Source organism: Homo sapiens (genome assembly GCF_000001405.40).
Source record: "Homo sapiens chromosome 14 unlocalized genomic scaffold, GRCh38.p14 Primary Assembly HSCHR14_CTG8_UNLOCALIZED".
Lineage (NCBI taxonomy): Eukaryota > Metazoa > Chordata > Mammalia > Primates > Hominidae > Homo > Homo sapiens.
This window is the reverse complement of record NT_187381.1, coordinates 14,335-32,962: the sequence shown is the minus strand read 5'-3', so window position 1 is coordinate 32,962 and position 18,628 is coordinate 14,335. Positions and strand designations below refer to the sequence as shown.

The window sequence follows — 18,628 nt, the reverse complement described above, 5'->3', positions numbered from 1 at the left end:
TGAAAGTATTCCTCCTAAGACTCAGAACACGTCAAGGATGCCCACTTTCACCACTCTTAATCAATATAGAACTTGAAATCCTAGCCAGAGAAATTAGGCAAGAGAAAGAAAGAAAGGGACTCGAATTGGAAAAGAGGAAGTCAAACTCTTTGTGTTTGCTGATAATATGATTTTGTACTTAAAAAAAACTAATATTCTTTCAAAATACTCCTAGAATTGATGAGTTAATTCAGTAAAGTTTTAGAATAAATGAAAAAAGCATACAAAAACCAGTAGTATTATTATACACAAGTAACAATCTAGCAGAAAGCCATAGATGAGTGGAACAGAATAGATATTTCATAAATAAAGTCAAATGCCTGCAGCCAAACTGACTGTGAAAAACTAGACAAAAAGCATACACTGGGAACAGGTCACCTTGTTAAATAAATTGTGCAGGAAAAACTGAACAGCCATTTGCAGCAGAATAAAACTGGACCCGTATCTCTCACTATATCCAAAATTAAGCCAATATGGATAAAAGACTTAACTGGGAGACCTGAGAGTCTGAAAGTTGCAGATGCTATTCTAGGAAATATTGTTCTGGAGATTGTCCTAGGCAAAGAATTCATGACTACAACTTTAAAAGTAAACAGAATAAAAAACAAAATAGACCATTTGGACTTAATACAAATAAGAAGCAAAGCATCTGAACAGCAAAACAAATAACCAAAAAACTTAACAGAAAGTGTACAGGATGGGATAAAACTATTTTTAAACTCTGTATCTGACAAAGAGCTAATATTTAGAAACTATAAGAAACAAAAGCAACACAAAAACCTACAAATAACCACATTAAAAATGAGCAAATTACTACAACGTTTATTTTTCAAAAGACAAAAAAACATCAACCAGCATATGAAAAAATAATCAATGACATTAATCATCAGAAAAATGCAATTTAAAGACACAGTGAGATACCATCTTATACCAGTCAGAACAGCTACTGTTAAAAAGTCAAAAAGAAAAATGGAACAAAACAAAACAGATGCTAGTAAGGATGCAGAGAAGCAGGAGTGCTTATACACTGCTAGTGGAAATGTAAATTACTATAAGCTCTATGGAAAACAGTATGGAGATTTTGCAAATAATTAATATTGGAACTAATATTTCATTCAGCAGTCCCACTACTGGGTATCTACCCAAGGGAAGATAAATTATTATATCAGATAGATGCCTGCATTTATATGTTTATTGCTGCTCTATTCACAATAGCAAATACATGGTACCAAACTAAGTTTCTATTAGTAAATGGTTAGATAAAGGAAACAGTTGTATATGTTCATACATATACATATATGTACACACACATCCCCACACATACACGCACTATACATGTGTATGTACATATACACATTTAATTACTACTCAATAATAGACAAGGAATGAAATTATGTATTTTCCAGTAGCATGGATGAAACTGTAGGCCACTATCTTAAGTTAAAGAACTCAGAAGAATAAAGTTGAATACCACATGTCATATATAAGTGAGAGCTAAATAATATGTACACATGGATATAGAGTGTGGAATAAGAAATATTGGAGACTTGGAAGGTTGGGAGGGTGGGAGTGGCATGTGGGATGAGAAGTTACTTAATGGGTACAATATACACCATCCAGATGATGACTATACTCAAAGCCCAGATTTTATCCCTCAACAATATATCCATGTAACAAAACGGCACTTTCACCCCATAAATGTATACAAACAAAAGGATAAGTGATACATATCCCAATTATCACAAACCCACTCCAGAATGTCTTATACATACACACACAGCATTACCACTACTTTATTGTAGTGTTCCATTTTTTTCACTTAAAAGAGAAAGGCAATCTCCATTGTCAGGGTAAATACACTTTGGAGAAGCTGTTATCCAGTAGGCCAGGGCAGTGCAGCTCTCCCATCAGCAACCACAAAGCTTTGTGTTTGGGTCATGTACATTCATTTACTATTGTTCCGTAGTAGTCTCTGGGCACAACATTGGCCCACACATTCTCCTCCATTCTAAGGGACTCAAAACAGAATCCACTTTTATACTAGTCATTCTCCAAATCCAGATTAACAAAAATTATTAAAGAAGCAAAAGATAAAACTCAAAAAGAGAGAACCCATCTCACTATCCTCCCATATTTCAGTCGTTTCATGCCTTACTCTCCCCATTTCACCACCTGAGCCACCTTCTGGGTGGGTAGAGTTTGTGAAGCTTTTATCTTTTATCACAGTGTAATTGCTAACTCTAGTGGTCATGAGCCCATCAGCCCTAAATGAAAATGGTCAAAATCTGAGGTTGGTGCAGTATCCCTCTCCCTGCCAACTCTCTCCTGGATTTTCACTTAGTTCTCACAGATGGAAATTGCATTATTTAGGCTATTTCTAATCATTTCACATTTCATTATGTATCAACAGAGCCAAGCTCCTTGGGAGTTGGATTTATAATTTCTAAATCCCATTTACCTCCAGAAACCGATTTCAGCTCAGCTGCTGTAATAGACTGTAGTATTCTGTCACTCCCCAGGTATCAAATTTTGCCATTCCATACCTGAACACTTACGTTTTCCATGCAATGCTTCAGCCATGTATCATCATTGAGTCAGGGTCTCTCTAGGAAATCCTTCTTCTAACACAACTGTGTTGAGAGTTCTCATCTGCCACCTGTAGGCTGAAAAATCAGTAAAAACATAGGACTCATAACTGTTCTATTCACAGGAACAGTTTATTACAGCAAAATGATACAATTTAAAATAAGCAAAGACAAAAGGCACAAGGAGTGAAGCCCTGGAGAATCCAGGCACAAGCTCTCAGGGGTCCTCTCACAGTGGAGCCTTCTACACATGTGTAATTGTTCAGCTGTGAGGTAAGATGGCTTGTGTGAAGTGTTGACAACAAGGGGAGTGCCGTTGAGCTTTCTTGTCCAGGGCTGTGTTTGGGGAATGAATCATAGACCATGGAACACCTGGGGAACTGACCACAATACTCAGACGACAGCCCTCTCCAGCAAAACAAAAGTAGACATTCACTATAAATCACTGTGATTAAACTTGTACCGCATGTCCCAAGGCTACAGACATCCACAGACACTGTTATCAGGTGCAATATTTTATGGACTCGGAGATCTCATCACAGTAGGTAACAGCAATAAATGAACAAAAGTTGTTTTTTTTTAGTTATTTATTTTTTAGGAATGTGCAGGGTTTGAACAATTCATACCTGCTGAGTTAACCCACTGCTATACACAAGTCCAGCTGGGATGGATTGTGGATGGTCAGGCTCAGAAGAGAGAATAGAGATGGCCAAGTTAGGACCCCAAGGAGGAGCCTGAGGGAGGGAAATCGAGAGCCTCTGGAGGGGCCCATGAGTGTGCCTGATCTGTGAGTTAAACCAAAGCTGTGATATTTCCAAGGAGCCCAAGAAAATGGTGCTACAGTGAAGGGTGTGGGGAAGTGGCCGTAAAGAGGCAGTGCATGGGCGCAGGAGCGGAAGGGAGCTAAAGGGGTTAAGAACCAAGAAGCAGAGCAAGGGATCTGGGCATTCCTTAAAGAAGGAGGTTCAGAAATAAGCTGTCAAATGCCTCTAGCCTGGGCTTCCATCCATATGTCAAAGATAAATTCTAGGCATGTTTCCCATCTGACAAATACCACAGTGTGAGGAAGGAGATGGCGGCGTTGCTAGGAGAGAACACTCTGGACGTGGCAGCAGCCCGTCCTTGTCCACACATGGCCCTGCCTGTCCTTTATCATCACAGCTTGGAGGTTCTCATCCTTGTCCTGTGGTGGAAAAAAACCACCCTGTTCTTGGAATCCTAAGGAGATCTCCAGACACACGTGGGTGGTAAAGTCTACCCTAAATCTGGCATTTCCAAACAAGTCCTCTATCTACTTTTCATCACTGTCTTTGTGAAGCTTCAGGTTAAGTGAAATATGTCAGTCACTAAATAGTAAAAACAAATCGCCAATTTACCAATGTTGGGATGACTCTTGGGTTTCAGAAGCAAAGAATTGGACAGAGAAGCAAAACTGTTTGTGCTCAGGACTTCTGGACACCACACATGGAAATTGAAATTCACACATACACACACAGTAAAATGGATAATCGCACTTATCTTACTTTTTGAGGTTCCTTGAGCAACTTAGGAAGCACTAAAGGTAGATTTATTAAAGAAAAAATATCAAGTAAAGACACTTGTTCCAGCACAGTAAGGAAGACTTTATCCAGGGTCCTCATGGTAGGTGTTGGGATCAGGGCAATGGTGTTTTGCAGTGAGGAGAGAGATTCAGCTGAACTCCAAATGCAGAAAGGAAATGTGGGGATTTAAAGCCAAGCAGCAGGGTGGGGTCCGGAAGATGGAAAATTACTGAGAGGAAACATCAGGGGCACAGCAAATCCTGCTTAAACCAACCTGCCAGAATTCTTGATGTTGGGCCAGGGTGATTAGACGTCACCGAGGTATGGTGAAGGGCAAGGAAACTGATCAGATACCCAGGAAAATCAGACATGGAGGATGGGGAAATCTGGCTAAACCAACACACCAGAATTCCAGGTAAAACTGAATTTCACATGAAGTGCAGAGAGAGGGGATGATGAGAAGTTTTAGGAGCCTCCTAACTTCTGTTGAAGCAAATGAGCTTCATCAGTTTGGGACCCATAAATGGTAGCACTTTCTGCTAACAAAACTCACAACTAAGTGAAATGAGAAAAATTTGTCACAAAAATGTACATTCAACCATTTCCTGAATTTCTGGAGATTCTGAGTGGCAGAATGAGCTGAGGTGTGATAGATCAATGGGTGTCCTAATTCTGAACCCACAATTAGTTCTAAGGAGTGTTCACTGACAAAAGAACAGCTCAAGGTTCCCACATGTACAAACACCTGACTCCATGAATCTGCAGCTGGGGGTCTCTGCAGGCTCTGAGGTTCAGAGGACAGATCCCACCTCAGATTCAGCCTCAGGTAATTATCTGCTCTTCCTGTGGGGAGGAGAGGAACAGTGTAGAAGGAGGGTCAGCTGTACTCTATTTAGGAGCTCTGTACATGGAGGAAAACAATGAAAGTAGGGATCACACATCCTGAACACACATCACAATTTCACATGAGAAAGGCAATTCTGTGCCAGGACATTCTGCAGAATCAAGGAATAAAGCAACTGGGGCAAATGTAGGAATCACCATTGTTTACAGACTGCATGTTTGTTTCTATGTCATCCACAGAAATGAAGTAAAAGTGTATGTTCTGTATAGAACCCACAGTCTCTGGGCCCTGAGTCAGCACTTCCCTCCCTCCACCTGCAGGGAGCACAATGCACCTGACCCAGGCACCCAGGGCTGCTCTCTATCTTCCATGCCATGGCTGGTGCTGGAGCCACGTCCTGTGCTCCACTCTTAGGAGATGAACAAGCTCTGCGCTGATCTGAGCAGAGCCACTGCTGGGAGTCACTGGGTCCCCGATGGGAAACTGTGACACGACTCTGATTCAGTGACCTTGCTGGACCTTCATAGAACAACACAGAAGTTTAGGAAAGTTCCACCCAGTCCTCCTCCCTTTCTCCTTCACTCAGGGACCGACTTCCCTCACATGCATTCAGCTACCCCAGACCCCTTCCACCACCTCTGCATTTCCTCTCAGAAGAGTGGACAGGGAAACTGTACACGAAGGAAACTGTACACGAAGCTAATCCAGTCACAGAGTTTGCTTCTCCGAAGACCAACACTAACACACATATTTTGGCAAAGCTGTTTATAATACCAGCCAGATTCTATTGATAAATATAAAATATGAACCAACCTTGGAAATCACGTTTTATGTGTCTCCTTGGCTAGACCATAGTCTCAATTATTAAATCAGACACTATTCTAGGTGTTGCTCTGATGGTTTCATACAAGTGTTATTCAAGCTTGCTATCAAGTTTCTCGAGCTAGGAAGATAGTGCTAGTTAACCTTGGTGTGTCTGATTTAATTCTAGCAGAACAAAAGACAACAAAATTTCCTGGTGGATGGCAGGTGCGCCTCTTTCCAAAAATTCCAGCCTGCCCTTCCTGATGGCCAGCCCTAGACATGCCTAGACAGAAGACACAATTGCTGTCATCAAGAAATCCCACACACTGGAGTGTCCACAATCAGCTCCCCCAAAATCACAGGTGAGGAAGGTGACACAGGCAGTTTCAGCAGATCCAGATCACAGATCTAGACAGGGTTCCTGAGGAAACTGTTAGATGGAGAAATTGTGAAGACTCTGAAAGGAAACCAGCTCTTAACCTTCCTGAGCAACTTGTCCCAGAGTTAACCCTATGCTCAGTGTGTCTTGAGCGGCCTCTGCAGCCCAGGCCCCTCCTGTCTTCCTGCAGGGAGGTTTTTGTCTGGGCTCTCACTGACTTCTCCTCACTGTGTATCTTTTGCACAGTAATACAAGGCGGTGTCCTCAGCTCTCAGACTGTTCATTTGCAGATACAGGGAGTTTTTGCTGTTGTCTCTGGAGATGGTGAATCGACCCTTCACAGAGTCTGCATAGTAGGTGCTACCACCATCCCAACTAATAAGAGAGACCCACTCCAGACCCTTCCCCGGAGCTTGACGGACCCAGTGCATGGCATAATCATCAAAGGTGAATCCAGAGGCTGCACAGGAGAGTCTCAGGGACCCCCCAGGCTGTACCACGACTCCCCCAGACTCCACCAGCTGCACTTCACACTGGACACCTGCAAACACAGAGACACCCTGGTCAGACACTGCCACACATATCCACTGTTTCTCTCACTCATGTTCACTCACACTCAACATCTCTATTTATCCATGAATCACCTTTTAAAATAGCAACAAGGAAAACCCAGCTCAGTCCAAACTCCATGGTGAGTTCTGTGTTCAGTGCTGATCACCGAATGGAAACACCTGGGAATCTCAGGGCTGGGGCTCCTTTCCCAGAGCTGCAGGGTCAGGGCTGGGCTGGTTTTCATCAGCAGAGGGAGGACCCTATTTGCATGTCTCCTACTATATAATGAGTTCTGTAACGGATGCCTCAGAGTGGGCTGTGTCCAAGAGTGGATGTGGGTGATTATACTTCATAAGTAATTAATTCTCATTAGCATTCATACTTTTACATGCACATGAAATATGTTCTTTGAGAGTCAATGTTTCCTTCATTTACAGATGTGAATGTAAACCCCCAAGTATGGAGGGACCATGTGACATAGACAAGAGCTCACATCTCATAAGAGCCAGTCTCAGTGTCCGGCCTGCGTTTCTCACAATTGGATCCAACTGTTCCCAAAATTAACTCTAGGAAAGAGCTAGAAATTCCCAGTGAGGTTTACAAAACACTCTTCTTATAATGATATCGTGATATTATTTGGCTGTATCTTGGTGTTTTTGTAAGTAATAGAGAAAAACTAAGGGTTAATTCATTCAGGAGTTCATGACTTTTCTTGTATTATTTTTATTTCTCTCTTCATCTTTTTCTACCACATTAGACTTTTATTTATAATAACTTTAATGAGGTAATACTGACATATAATCTTCACACAATATGTTCACCATTTGACAAACATTGACCTAATGACCATACACAGAGAAAACAAATGAATTCGCCTCTCAATTTTCTCTTTGTCTCTCGCAATTTCTCCTCCTATACCTTCGCTTCTCTTACTATGGAGAAGTCAGTTAGTGATCTTTGTTATGTAATTTCCAATGAGTATTCACTTTGTACAGTTTATAAAACGGAATCATATGTATGTGCTTTGGCTCACTATACTCATCATATGTACTTGTGAATTGAACCATGCTGTTGATCGTATCCAACATTTACTGATTGTAGTAGTGGGTACTATCCCAATAAATGACTTTTCCACAATTTGTTTACTTATGAAGGTGCTGATTAATATTTGGATTGTTTTCAGTTTCTGTGTATTTCAAATAAAGCTGCTGCTCAGCTTAGAGGAGTACACAGCTGAGAAACATGTTCCTGATCTTACAACAACATGAACAACAGCTAAACTGGTCAAGTTGCAAATGAATCAATATTCTTTAATACATCAGGTAATTAATGTTATGGCACCCCGTGTGTTTGTCAGTGTGTGAGTGAGAAAGAAAGAAAGAGGAAGGAAAGGAGACTGAAAAAGAAAGTGATTCTACATAATTATTAATTTGTGAGGTCCTCAAATACAAGGACTTATTCCTAATGAACAGGGTCCACATAGGTTGAAGAGGTTAACTTGATGCACCCACAGATGGCTATAGATTCATAACATAAATAATATTCTCTAAACACATGAACACCCATACATTAGATTAGAATTAGATGTGCTGGAGGGTGTTTAGTGGTGGAAATGAGAAGGTGACACTAAACTCCGTCTTCAGAGCCTTTCCCCGCCTGCTAGATGTGCTGGAGGGTGTTTAGTGGTGGAAATGAGAAGGTGACACTAAACTCCGTCTTCAGAGCCTTTCCCCGCCTGCTACACCTGCTCTGAGGCTGAACCTTGAGCCTGCCTGACCACTGAGCCCCACAACGGTCCTGAGCCTTCAGGCGGTGCCAAATGCCCCCTGGGTTTCCCTGCTGGTTCCTGGGTGCTGGCTTCTGTCCTCAGCACCCACTGCTGTTCTGTAAACTCCCACAGGAAGGTTTGTGTGTGGGCTCATACTGAAGTCTCTTCACTGTGTCTTTTGCTTAAAAATACTTGTTTGTGGCTGGGTACAGTGGCTTATACTTGTAATCCCAGCACTTTTGGAGGCCGAGTCGGGTGGATCAGAAGGTCAGGAGTTCAAGACCAGCCTGGCCAACATAGTGAAACCTTGTCTCTACTAAAAATACAAAAATTAGCCAGGTGTGGTGGTGAGTGCCTGCAGTCCAAGCTACTTGGAGGCTGAGGCTGGAGAATCACTTGAACCCAGGAGGTGGAGCTCGTAGTGAGCCAAGATTGATTGCCCCACTGCACTCCAGCCTGGGTGACACAAGACTCTATCAAAAACACACACACACACACCAAAACAAAACAAAAAAACAAACATGGTTGTGTGCTTGTTGCTAATGTCACTCAGCCATACGAAGAGCTGTTTTTGGACATAGATCTGGAGGTGGTGACTGGACTCTTGAGGAGTGGGTTAGAATTTGTGCTCCCTTCATGACCTGTGCACCTGACCCACTCCAGTCCCTTCCCTGGGGGCTGATGGATCCAGCTCCAGCAGGAAGCACTGGTTCTGTTGGGGAATCCAGAATTTAAACCTAAATGTTATTGTTGTTGAGTCACTAAACAAAATGTGGTGCTCATTTCTATTGTGTTGAGATACACATGACATAAAATTTACAATTTTAGCCACGATTAAGTGTACGGGTCAGTGATACTTTACACATTTGCAATGTTGTGCAAATATCACCAGTATTTGGTTTGGGAACATTTTCATCACAGAAAAGAAAACCTCAGCTCCATTAAGCGTCACTCTCCATTTCCCCTCCACTCACCCCCTGTGATCTGTCTCTAGGGATTTTCCTCCTCTGCATACTTCATGTCAATAGGACAATTCAGGATGTAGACTTCCGTGTCTCCCTCAGTTCACTCACCCAATGTTTACAAGGCCCATCCGAGTTGCAGCCTATGTCAGTGCTTCACTCCTTTTTAAAGCACCACAGCGTCTTCATCCCTGTGGGTTACAGATGCACAGACGCACCGCGGCGTCTTCATCCCTCTGGCAGTCGATGGACACTTGAGTTGTATTCTCCATCTACTTCTGTGAGTGGTGACACTAGCTACATTTATGAGGTTTTCTGTGAAGACCATTTTCCAAAGTTGCTGTCCCATTTCAATACCAACATGCAAGCCATGACCATTCCAAATTCAGTATGTCTATACCTACAAGTGGTTATGTTTTTCTATTCATTTTTCTTTTTTGAATGCTGATTATCTTAGTGTATGTAAGGTGGTAATTCATAGGGAACTTAATCACCAGCATAAACCAAATAACCGCATTAAAAATGGAGAAAGGACATGCACAGAAACTTCTCAAATACAAACATAGAAGTGGCCAACTAACCTATAAAAATGCTCAGCATATTCAGTCATCAGATAAGTGCGAATCAAAACCAAATGATATACTTTCTCACATATGTCAGAACTGCTATCACTGAAAGATCAGAAATTAACAGATGCAGGCAAGGCTATAGAGATAAGGGACCACTTACACACTTTTGGTGAAAATATAATTTGGCCCAAGCACTGTTGAAATCAATCTGGAGATTTCTCAAAGAATTTAAAACAGAGCTACCATTCCCCTCAGCAATCTCATTACTGGGTATATGTCCAAGAGAAAACCAATCATTGGAACAAAAAGACACATCAACTCACGTGTGTATCACTGTGCTATTCACAGTACCAAAGACATATAATAAAACTAAATGCCGATCAGTTATAGACTGAAAAAAGAAAACGTGGTACTTATACACAGTGGAATACCATGCAGCTGTAAAAATGAATGAAATCATGTTTTTGCAGCAACTTGGATTCAGCTGGAGGCCAAAATTCTAAGCAAACTGACAGAGACAGATGATAAGAGTCAATGGGAGATGAAACGGACAATTTGGGTGTTTCTTTGTGTAAAAATGAGAAAAGAAATCCCCTGGTTGCATGAACTCTAGAAATAGACAAGCCTGGAGATGCTGATGCCCTGACTTCCATTACATTAGGTTGTGCTTTTTCTCATTTTTAGTCAGTTAACCTTGCTTTCCTTCACTCTTGGCTAAAATAGCCACACATAATAATCTAGAGACATTAAAATAAAAATAACATATTTGAACATTAGAACAAGTGTTAACTTTTAGGTCAAAGTTAGCGTGAATTCAGTGTGACAGACAGGAGACATGGCTGAATACTAGCAGTGTGCTCACAGTAATACTATCTAAATTAGGAAAGTTTATTCACATCTTTTAGATTAGATTCCGATTGAAATCCTTGATCTAGTAACATCTCTGATGAATCATACATCAGTAACAAAACTGGAGGTTATGCACTCAATTGAGTAGTGCATTCAGAATCTGTTCCTCTACCTGATGTCAAGTCAGCCAGCATGACAGAAGTTATTGTAGTCAACAGAGCCCATCAATAAGCCAAAGACAAGGATTAAGTACATGTTTTACAGGAGTGCCTGACTTTGGGATGCTCTTCACGCAAAGAAGTTTCTCACATCTTCTGGAGCACGTAAAAATTCTCAACAGAAGAATAAATTTCAGATGCACGCCTATATTTTAGGGACCTGACTCATGTAACTCAGAAAGTAAAGTCCTAAAGGAAAATGAAATCGCGTAACAACTAAAAGTATACATATTGTACTGGGTCATTATACCAAACAGTCTTGTTTATAATATTATCTAAACACAGAAGGCATTAGCATTACTTATATAACTCAGCATCATTCCCAAACACAATCTTCTGAAAATGTTGAAGAAAATTGTCATACTTGAACTAAACTTGTCAAAACCTTAAGAAAATCTTGAACTTCCTTGGCCAAAGTTTCTCTCCCTAGCACTAGAGCATTATAGTCAAGTCCCTCAGTGAGACATCAGTTATCACCTTATGATTTGGTGGCTGGAAGGCGCATACATTTAGAGATTTACCCCCGGTGCTCACCTCTTCCTATTACATGCACGCATGACAAAGTATTGAAAGTGATGACTGTAACTTACCCACTCCAGTCATCGACAGATTAAGCTATCATTTTCCTACATCTTTTCAATAGCCTCTAATGACATTAAAACAGGGAATGGTATTTACTGGAAGAAACATCACGGTAGAATATTGCTCTTGAACTGCTTTGAAGGGAATCTTACCAGGTAATTTTAACCACAACACAGCAGTGAATATGCACAATGTCAATACTAGGGTTCATATTTATGAACTGTAAACCAAAAATAAAATCCTAAGTGCCCCAACTGACTAAATAGTCCATCTGTTCATCTAAGGGACTCCAGAAAAGCCTAAAAACTGAGATCCCAGCCATGACAAGATCAGACGTGCCTCTTACACTCACTCCCCTTTGCGGTTTAGACACGACAATGACCAACACTAATGTTAAAATAGAGATCAAAAGAATGACAGAACAGAATCTCTGTGGCAATAAGATGTCAAATTATAAACAAGACCTAAAGCCATGTCAGGCAAGGGTTCTGCCACTCACTCCCACACTTAAAAGGTAAACTGTCTTCTAACTGCCAATAGGTTATTCGTTTTCTCTAGTGGCTCAGTAAGCACCGGCACTGAGACAAGCACTATGAAGACAATTGCAGCCCATCCCCTGATGAACTGACCCCTGTTCCACAAGCCATAACCCCAGCTTTGATTGAACACTAGAGTGATATCAGGACCTTTCTCCTGATCAGAGACCACTCACCATGGCCTGGCTCTGGCCGTTTACAGAGGCTGCACCCTGAGTGCCTTTGTGTTTCTGCTTCTGCTATTGGCACATAGAGCCTGACTGTAATGAATTTAAATGCTAAGTCTCCACTGGTAAGTGAACAGGGGTCATACGTTACAGGAATGTTTATTCAGTATGCATGTGTGAGGACCACCTCCATGAACATCAGTAGCCCCTCCTGTAACCTGTTGATTATGTCTGTTTAGCCAAACCCTTCAGCATAAAGCTTCTGCCCAACCCCTTCTTCCTGGGAGTGCCTTTCTCTCGTCTTTACCAAAAGCTATGCTTTCCAGCATATGGGATGGCTGTAACCCTTGATAAAAATAAACTCTCACTTTCCTAAATTGTAGATTGTGTTATTTTTTTATTTAACACAACTGAAGATTAAATTCAGAAGTACATCTAATTATAAGGCTACTTTAGTGAAGAACGACAAACCGAGGATTTTCACATATACTGTAAGGGCCTGTGATATTTTGAAGCAGGAAGCTGACCTGAGACCTTCAGAATTAACTGATAACTGTGGATAATGAAAAGGCCCCACTCAGGACATTGATTCAGCACCCCTGCCTGTCTCATTCATTCTTCTCTTTCTTTTTATTATGTGCTTACAGTAATAAAATTTTTATTTTCTTTAGACCTGTTTGCTTTTCACACATAGTGGACTCTTCTCTCTCTTTTTCACTCATTTTCTTAAGCTGCTAGGGAGAATAAAGCGTCAGGTCCTATTTTTGGTGCCTCGTTGCTGACGAATTAAGGTTTATTCTTCCTCCTCCTTATCCCCTGCATGTGGTAAATCTAGTAAGAAATCACAGAAGCTCCCTTATCTGATGCCCCTGTGAGGTTTAAATCACACAATCTCCTTCTCCTGAGTAGAAACGCACCCCCAACCCCACCACCAAATCATTATAAAGCCCTGAGCCAGCCTCCTTTCCTGTCTACTGAGGAAATTCCAGTTTGAAATTTCTTGAGAGGCCTGTGCTGCTCTCAGCAGACACCTCAAAAATAGAGTTAATAAATGTTTTCATATTCACCTGGAGTGTGAGTGTGGAACCATCAGACTCGAAATCCACACTAACCATTGGTGGGGTCTCTCTTCCTTTGCCCAGTATCACCTACAATTGGAACTGTGGGCTTGGAGTCCTGACAATGACCACCACGGGGGCTTTCTTCTCTTGCACTGGATGCTAACTCCCTCTGCCCCAATGCCCAGCATGCACTTTATCCTGCCTGCTTGCTCACTGGCCCTTGGAGTTCTGTTGAGCTGGGCTGCCATGCTGAGTTAAACACCGCACCTTTTATAGATTTAGCTGATTAACTTCAGAAGCATTGACACCTTATTGACATTCAGAAACAGGAGTAAATGACTGTAGGTGACTCTGCCTTTGGTGCATATGAGAAAGTTTTTCTCTTGTTACGACAAATGTTTCTTCTTCAGACTTCACAGGAAAAAAAGGATAAGGAATCCAGAGATGTGCCACAAAGGAAACTGTTTTATGGAGAGGAAGCCACAGGGCTGACAGGAAACCAGACCTTAACACCCCTCTGCACCTGCCCTGGGGCTGGCTCTTGTGCTCAGTGGGTCCTGAGCGCCCCCAGGTGGTCCAGTGCCCACTTCAGGGAGGCTTGTTTCTAGGCTCACACTGACTTTTTTTCTAATTGTTTTCACAAAAATGGAGACAGAGTAAACGGTGAATCCATGCATCTCAGAGAACACAGAACAATAGCATAACACCCCTCGACACACACACACACATTTAGGTGAATCTTATTAAAACTGCTGAAAACCAAAGACAAATAGAAATACATGCAGACAAGTGGAGATGAGTTGAGGGGGCATTCCTTCTAAAAGAACAGGAAAGATGATGACAGCATTCTTCTGGTTAAAACCTTATAAGCAAGAGGAAAATTGATGGTGTCTGTAAAGTGTTGGAAGAAAAGCCAACCCATTATTTTGTAACCCATGGATGTTCGCTAAAAAGTGAAAAAAAAAAAAAAAAAGACTCTACCAGCTGCACCTCATACTGCACACCTGCAAACACAGAGAAATCCTGGTCAGCAACTGCCACACATATCCACTGTTTCTCTAATATCCACTCACAAACAATATCTGTAGTTCTTCATGAATCACCTCTTAAAATAGTAACAAGGAAAGCCCAGCTCAGCCCAAACAACATGGTGAGTCCTCTGTGTTAAGTTCTGATCACCAAGTGAAAACACCTGGGAATCCTGGCACTTGAGCTCCTCTCCCAGAGCTGCAGGGTCAAGGCTGGGCTGGTTTTCATCAGCAGAGGGAGGGAACTATTTGCATGTCTCCTACTATATAGAAGTCTCTTGGGCAGGATGTCTGAGGACAGGGCAAGGCACAGAGCAGATGAAGTTTTCTAGTGGGTGGTGGGGCTTGAAGACAATGATAATATTTGGAAAAAATGTAATTTCTTAGTAAAAGATTGTGCTGTGGTAAACATTTAGCATACATTATCTTAACACACGAAAATACATTGTTAGAGGCAGATGCCCATTGGTCCTCCATTTACAGATGTGAATGTAAACCCAGAAGCATGAGGGAGCTATGAGATGTGTCCAGGAGCTCACATGTGACAAGAATGGTCTCCAGGATCGGGACCTGTGCTCCTCTCCACCGGATCCCACAGCTCCCTTAGCCAACTTTATCCCAGAGTTACGCATACCTGGTGTGGTTTGAAGAAACCCTTCTTGTAATAAAAACATTAAAAAAAACTGCTGCATTTTAGAATTACCAAAAAATAGAGATAGAGCTAAGGGTTATTCATTGTACATTCAGAAATATCTGACTTTTTATGTGATTTATCCATCTCCCTTACACCGTCCCTAAGAAATTTATACAGGTATTTATTTGTAATAGCTTGAATAATATAAAATTCTAATTAACACACAAAATGTACAATTTGGAAATTATTGATGTAACCATCACCATTATTAAGATAGAAAACAAATCAATTACCCTCAACATTTTCTCTTATTCTCTTGCAACGCCTTCCTCCCTCTTTTCTCTCACCTTTTCTCCATTCAACTCCCGACCTTCATGTCACTTCAGTTTCTATTCTGTAGAATGTATAAAAGTGTCATCATACAGGATGTAGTTTTTTTTTTTGGCTTATTTTACTTATATGTACTTGTGAATTTAGTGCGTTTATGCGTGTATCAAACGTTCATTAATTGTAATGAACAACAGTATTCCAATGATTGATTTTTTTTTTTGTTTTTTTGAGACGAAGTCTCGCTCTGTCGCCCAGGCTGAGTGCAGTGGCGCAATCTCGGCGATTCTCCTGCCTCAGCCTCCTGAGTAGCTGGGATTACAGGCGCGCACAACCACGCCCGGCTAATTTTTGTATTTTTAGTAGAGACGGAGTTTCACTATGTTGGTCAGGCTGTTCTCAAACTCCTGACCTCATCATCCACCCGCCTCGGCCTCTCAAAGTGCTGGGATTCCAGGCGTGAGCCACCGTGCCCGGCTGAATTTGTTAAATTCGGTGTTTAATCTGACATCCTTCTGGATTTGCTCACATTGGAACGTAAAAGAAAATAATTTCCAAGACTTACGTGTAGCCAAAACAAAACCAAAAATTTCCCGTCTCTAAGCTACACCTACCACTGGATTTTTAACTGACGAAAGATGAGCCTGAGAGAAATCACAAAAGCAGCCAATTCAAGGAAAAGCCATTTATCGTTCTCAGCTGAACTTAAGACCACAGTTACCACGAAGGCAGCTTCTCCACCTCCGGAGCTCAAGCGATCCGCCCGCCTCGGCCTCCCAAAGTGCTGGGATTCCAGGCCTGAGCCCGGCGCCCGGTCAGCGAAGGCAACGTCTAAAAAAACTTCTCACCTCCTGTCACCATTTCAGTGACAAATTCCCGAGTTTTCAGAGGACATGCCGAATCCAGCACAAAACACTGACTCTGAGGAGCTCCCGACGCCGCTGGCGCCTCAGCTGGCAGCAGCTGCTCCAAGTTCGAACCCGCGGGCGGTGGCGGAAGGGCCTTCTCGCGGGCGTCGGGCAGCAGCTGCAGCCCTGGGCTCGGCCGCGGCGGCTCCGCGTCCTTCCCGGAGGCGCCGGCGCGAGGTCCTCACACCCAGGCGGCTCAGTGGAGGCGCAGCAGCCCAAGGAGCGCGGCCCCCAGCGCCCGCGCCCATCCTGGAGAACTGCATCTGCGCAGGCCCAGAGCGTCCTCCTGGAGCAGGCGAGCCAGGATGGCGCCTCCTCGCTCCCAGCAGGCGCCCCCACGCGGCCCGTGCGGAGCCCAGCGACCAGAGCCGCGCGAGCCTGTGGGGAGCCTGTGGGGAGCCTGTGGAGGCCTGGGCTCCACCGCCTTCCCCACAGCCAGCAGCAGCTTGTGCCGCCCGCCTTCCCCTGGCCAGGTCTTCCTGCAGCTGGCGCCGGAGGCTGCGGAGGGAGGGCCCAAGGGTTCTTTTCAGAAGACTGGCTTTTTATGAATTTTAACACAATATGTACAAGCTGCGTTCGTTTAATAACGCTACTTCCGTCATACACTGGCAACTTAACACCTGAAAAGATTAGATGTTATAAATAGGACTTGTTCATCCTTTATACACAGGATATCCATAGATAAATAAAACAAACACACAGACAGAAGAGATGATCATTAATCTCTCCTCCCGGTGCGCACAGAGGCCTGGAAGTCTGCACTTTCTCCTCCTCTCTCCTCCCCTGAACCAGAGCACAAACGCAATGTGTGTTGATCAAGCAGGGATTTGGCCATCCTCCCCACCCCCCACCAACATCAAAATAAAATAAAACCCTGCATATGAATTTTAACAAAAAGATATTTACAAAATTTATTATTTTACCACCTGTAATTTTAACATACATCAGGCACTTCAGAACATCTAGAAAGACTAGATATTTCAAAAGAATACTTAGAATTTCCAATGATGTATACAATAGCGAGGAATAAAACGCACACAAGAAAACAATGACAATGATATGAAAATGTCTTCTAAATATGAGCAGCCTGGCATGGAACCCTCTTCCCTTCCTGCCCAGGTCTCCCCTCCATGTCCTCTCACCCACTGAACGAACGTGGACGTGTGGTTACTGTGTCCCTTCCAGGGGTGGTCTAATAACACCATTTCAAAATGTCATTTCCAGAAGACACCCCTTTGCTATGATTTTTTTAAAAAGCACATGGTAACTTACGGCCAGGCACGGTGGCTCACACCTGTAATCCCAGCACTTTGAGAGGCCAAGGTGGGTGGCTCACCTGAGGTCAGGAGTTCAAGACCAGCCTGGCCAACGTGGCAAAACCCCATCTCTACTAAAAACTACAAAAATTAGCCAGGCGTGGTGGTGCACACTTGTAATCCAAGCTACTCGGGAGGCTGAGGCAGCACAATTGTTGAAACTCAGGAAGCAGAGGTTGCAGTGAGCCAAGATCCTGCCACTGCACTCCAGCCTGGGCGACAGAGTGAGACTCCGTCTCAAAAACAAAAAACAAAAAAACGAAAAAAAACGGAAAACAAAAGACAAGCACATGGTAACTTACAAGACATGTAATTTTCTGACTCTGTCATACATTTGGGAACCTCCTTATATCTAGGCGGATTAGATGCAGCAAATGTTTTCTTTTAAAAGGTCAGGGAAAGGTCGAGCAGAGCTTTTTCATGTGTTACGCACAGGCCTTCTAGAAAGGGCTGGTAAAGTGTGGTGGGCATGTCCAGTGGGACAAACTTGGAAGGTTCTTCTCTGTTTCTCCCCATCCATGTCAAGGTCTTGTAGAAGAACGATCACCATCCGGTGGCCGCTACCCGTTCCCCACATCGTCTTCCAGGACTCTACTAACATTTCTTGCCCTAAGGCCTTTGAACCTTGCCAGGACTGGCAGGGTCCCTTCCAACATGGACAGGAGTCATCCCAGGATTCGGAGCTTCGGGGCTGCATGGCCTGAAGAGAAGGCGGATCTAAGTCCTAGACCCCGCTTCCTGGCGACCCCACGCGTCCCCGGAACTCCCACGTCCCAGCTGCCCCCTCGCATCCCTGGACCGCCCACAACCCGCCAGCCCCCGCGCGTCCCGGACCACCTGCATCTCAGCTGCCCCCGCGCCTCTCCAGACCGCCCACGTCCCAGCTGCCCCCTGGCATCTCCGATCGCCGACGTCCCGCCATCCCCCGCGCGTCCCCGGACCGCCCACGTCCCATCAGC

General features: G+C 43.2%; 1 long non-coding RNA gene across 2 annotated transcripts; it reads right to left on the bottom strand.

Moving 5' to 3' along the window:
* Positions 1-841: 841 nt before the first annotated feature.
* On the bottom strand, positions 842-18,613 carry LOC105379527 (uncharacterized). 2 transcript variants are annotated; one of them, XR_951312.3, is made up of 3 exons: positions 18,507-18,613; positions 16,294-18,369; positions 842-2,702 (listed from the first exon to the last, which is right to left on the bottom strand). It is a non-coding gene; the product is annotated as an uncharacterized LOC105379527 (long non-coding RNA). The 2 variants fall into 2 exon arrangements; XR_007068536.1 differs by lacking the exon at positions 842-2,702 and adding an exon at positions 9,720-15,512.
* Positions 18,614-18,628: the final 15 nt, after the last annotated feature.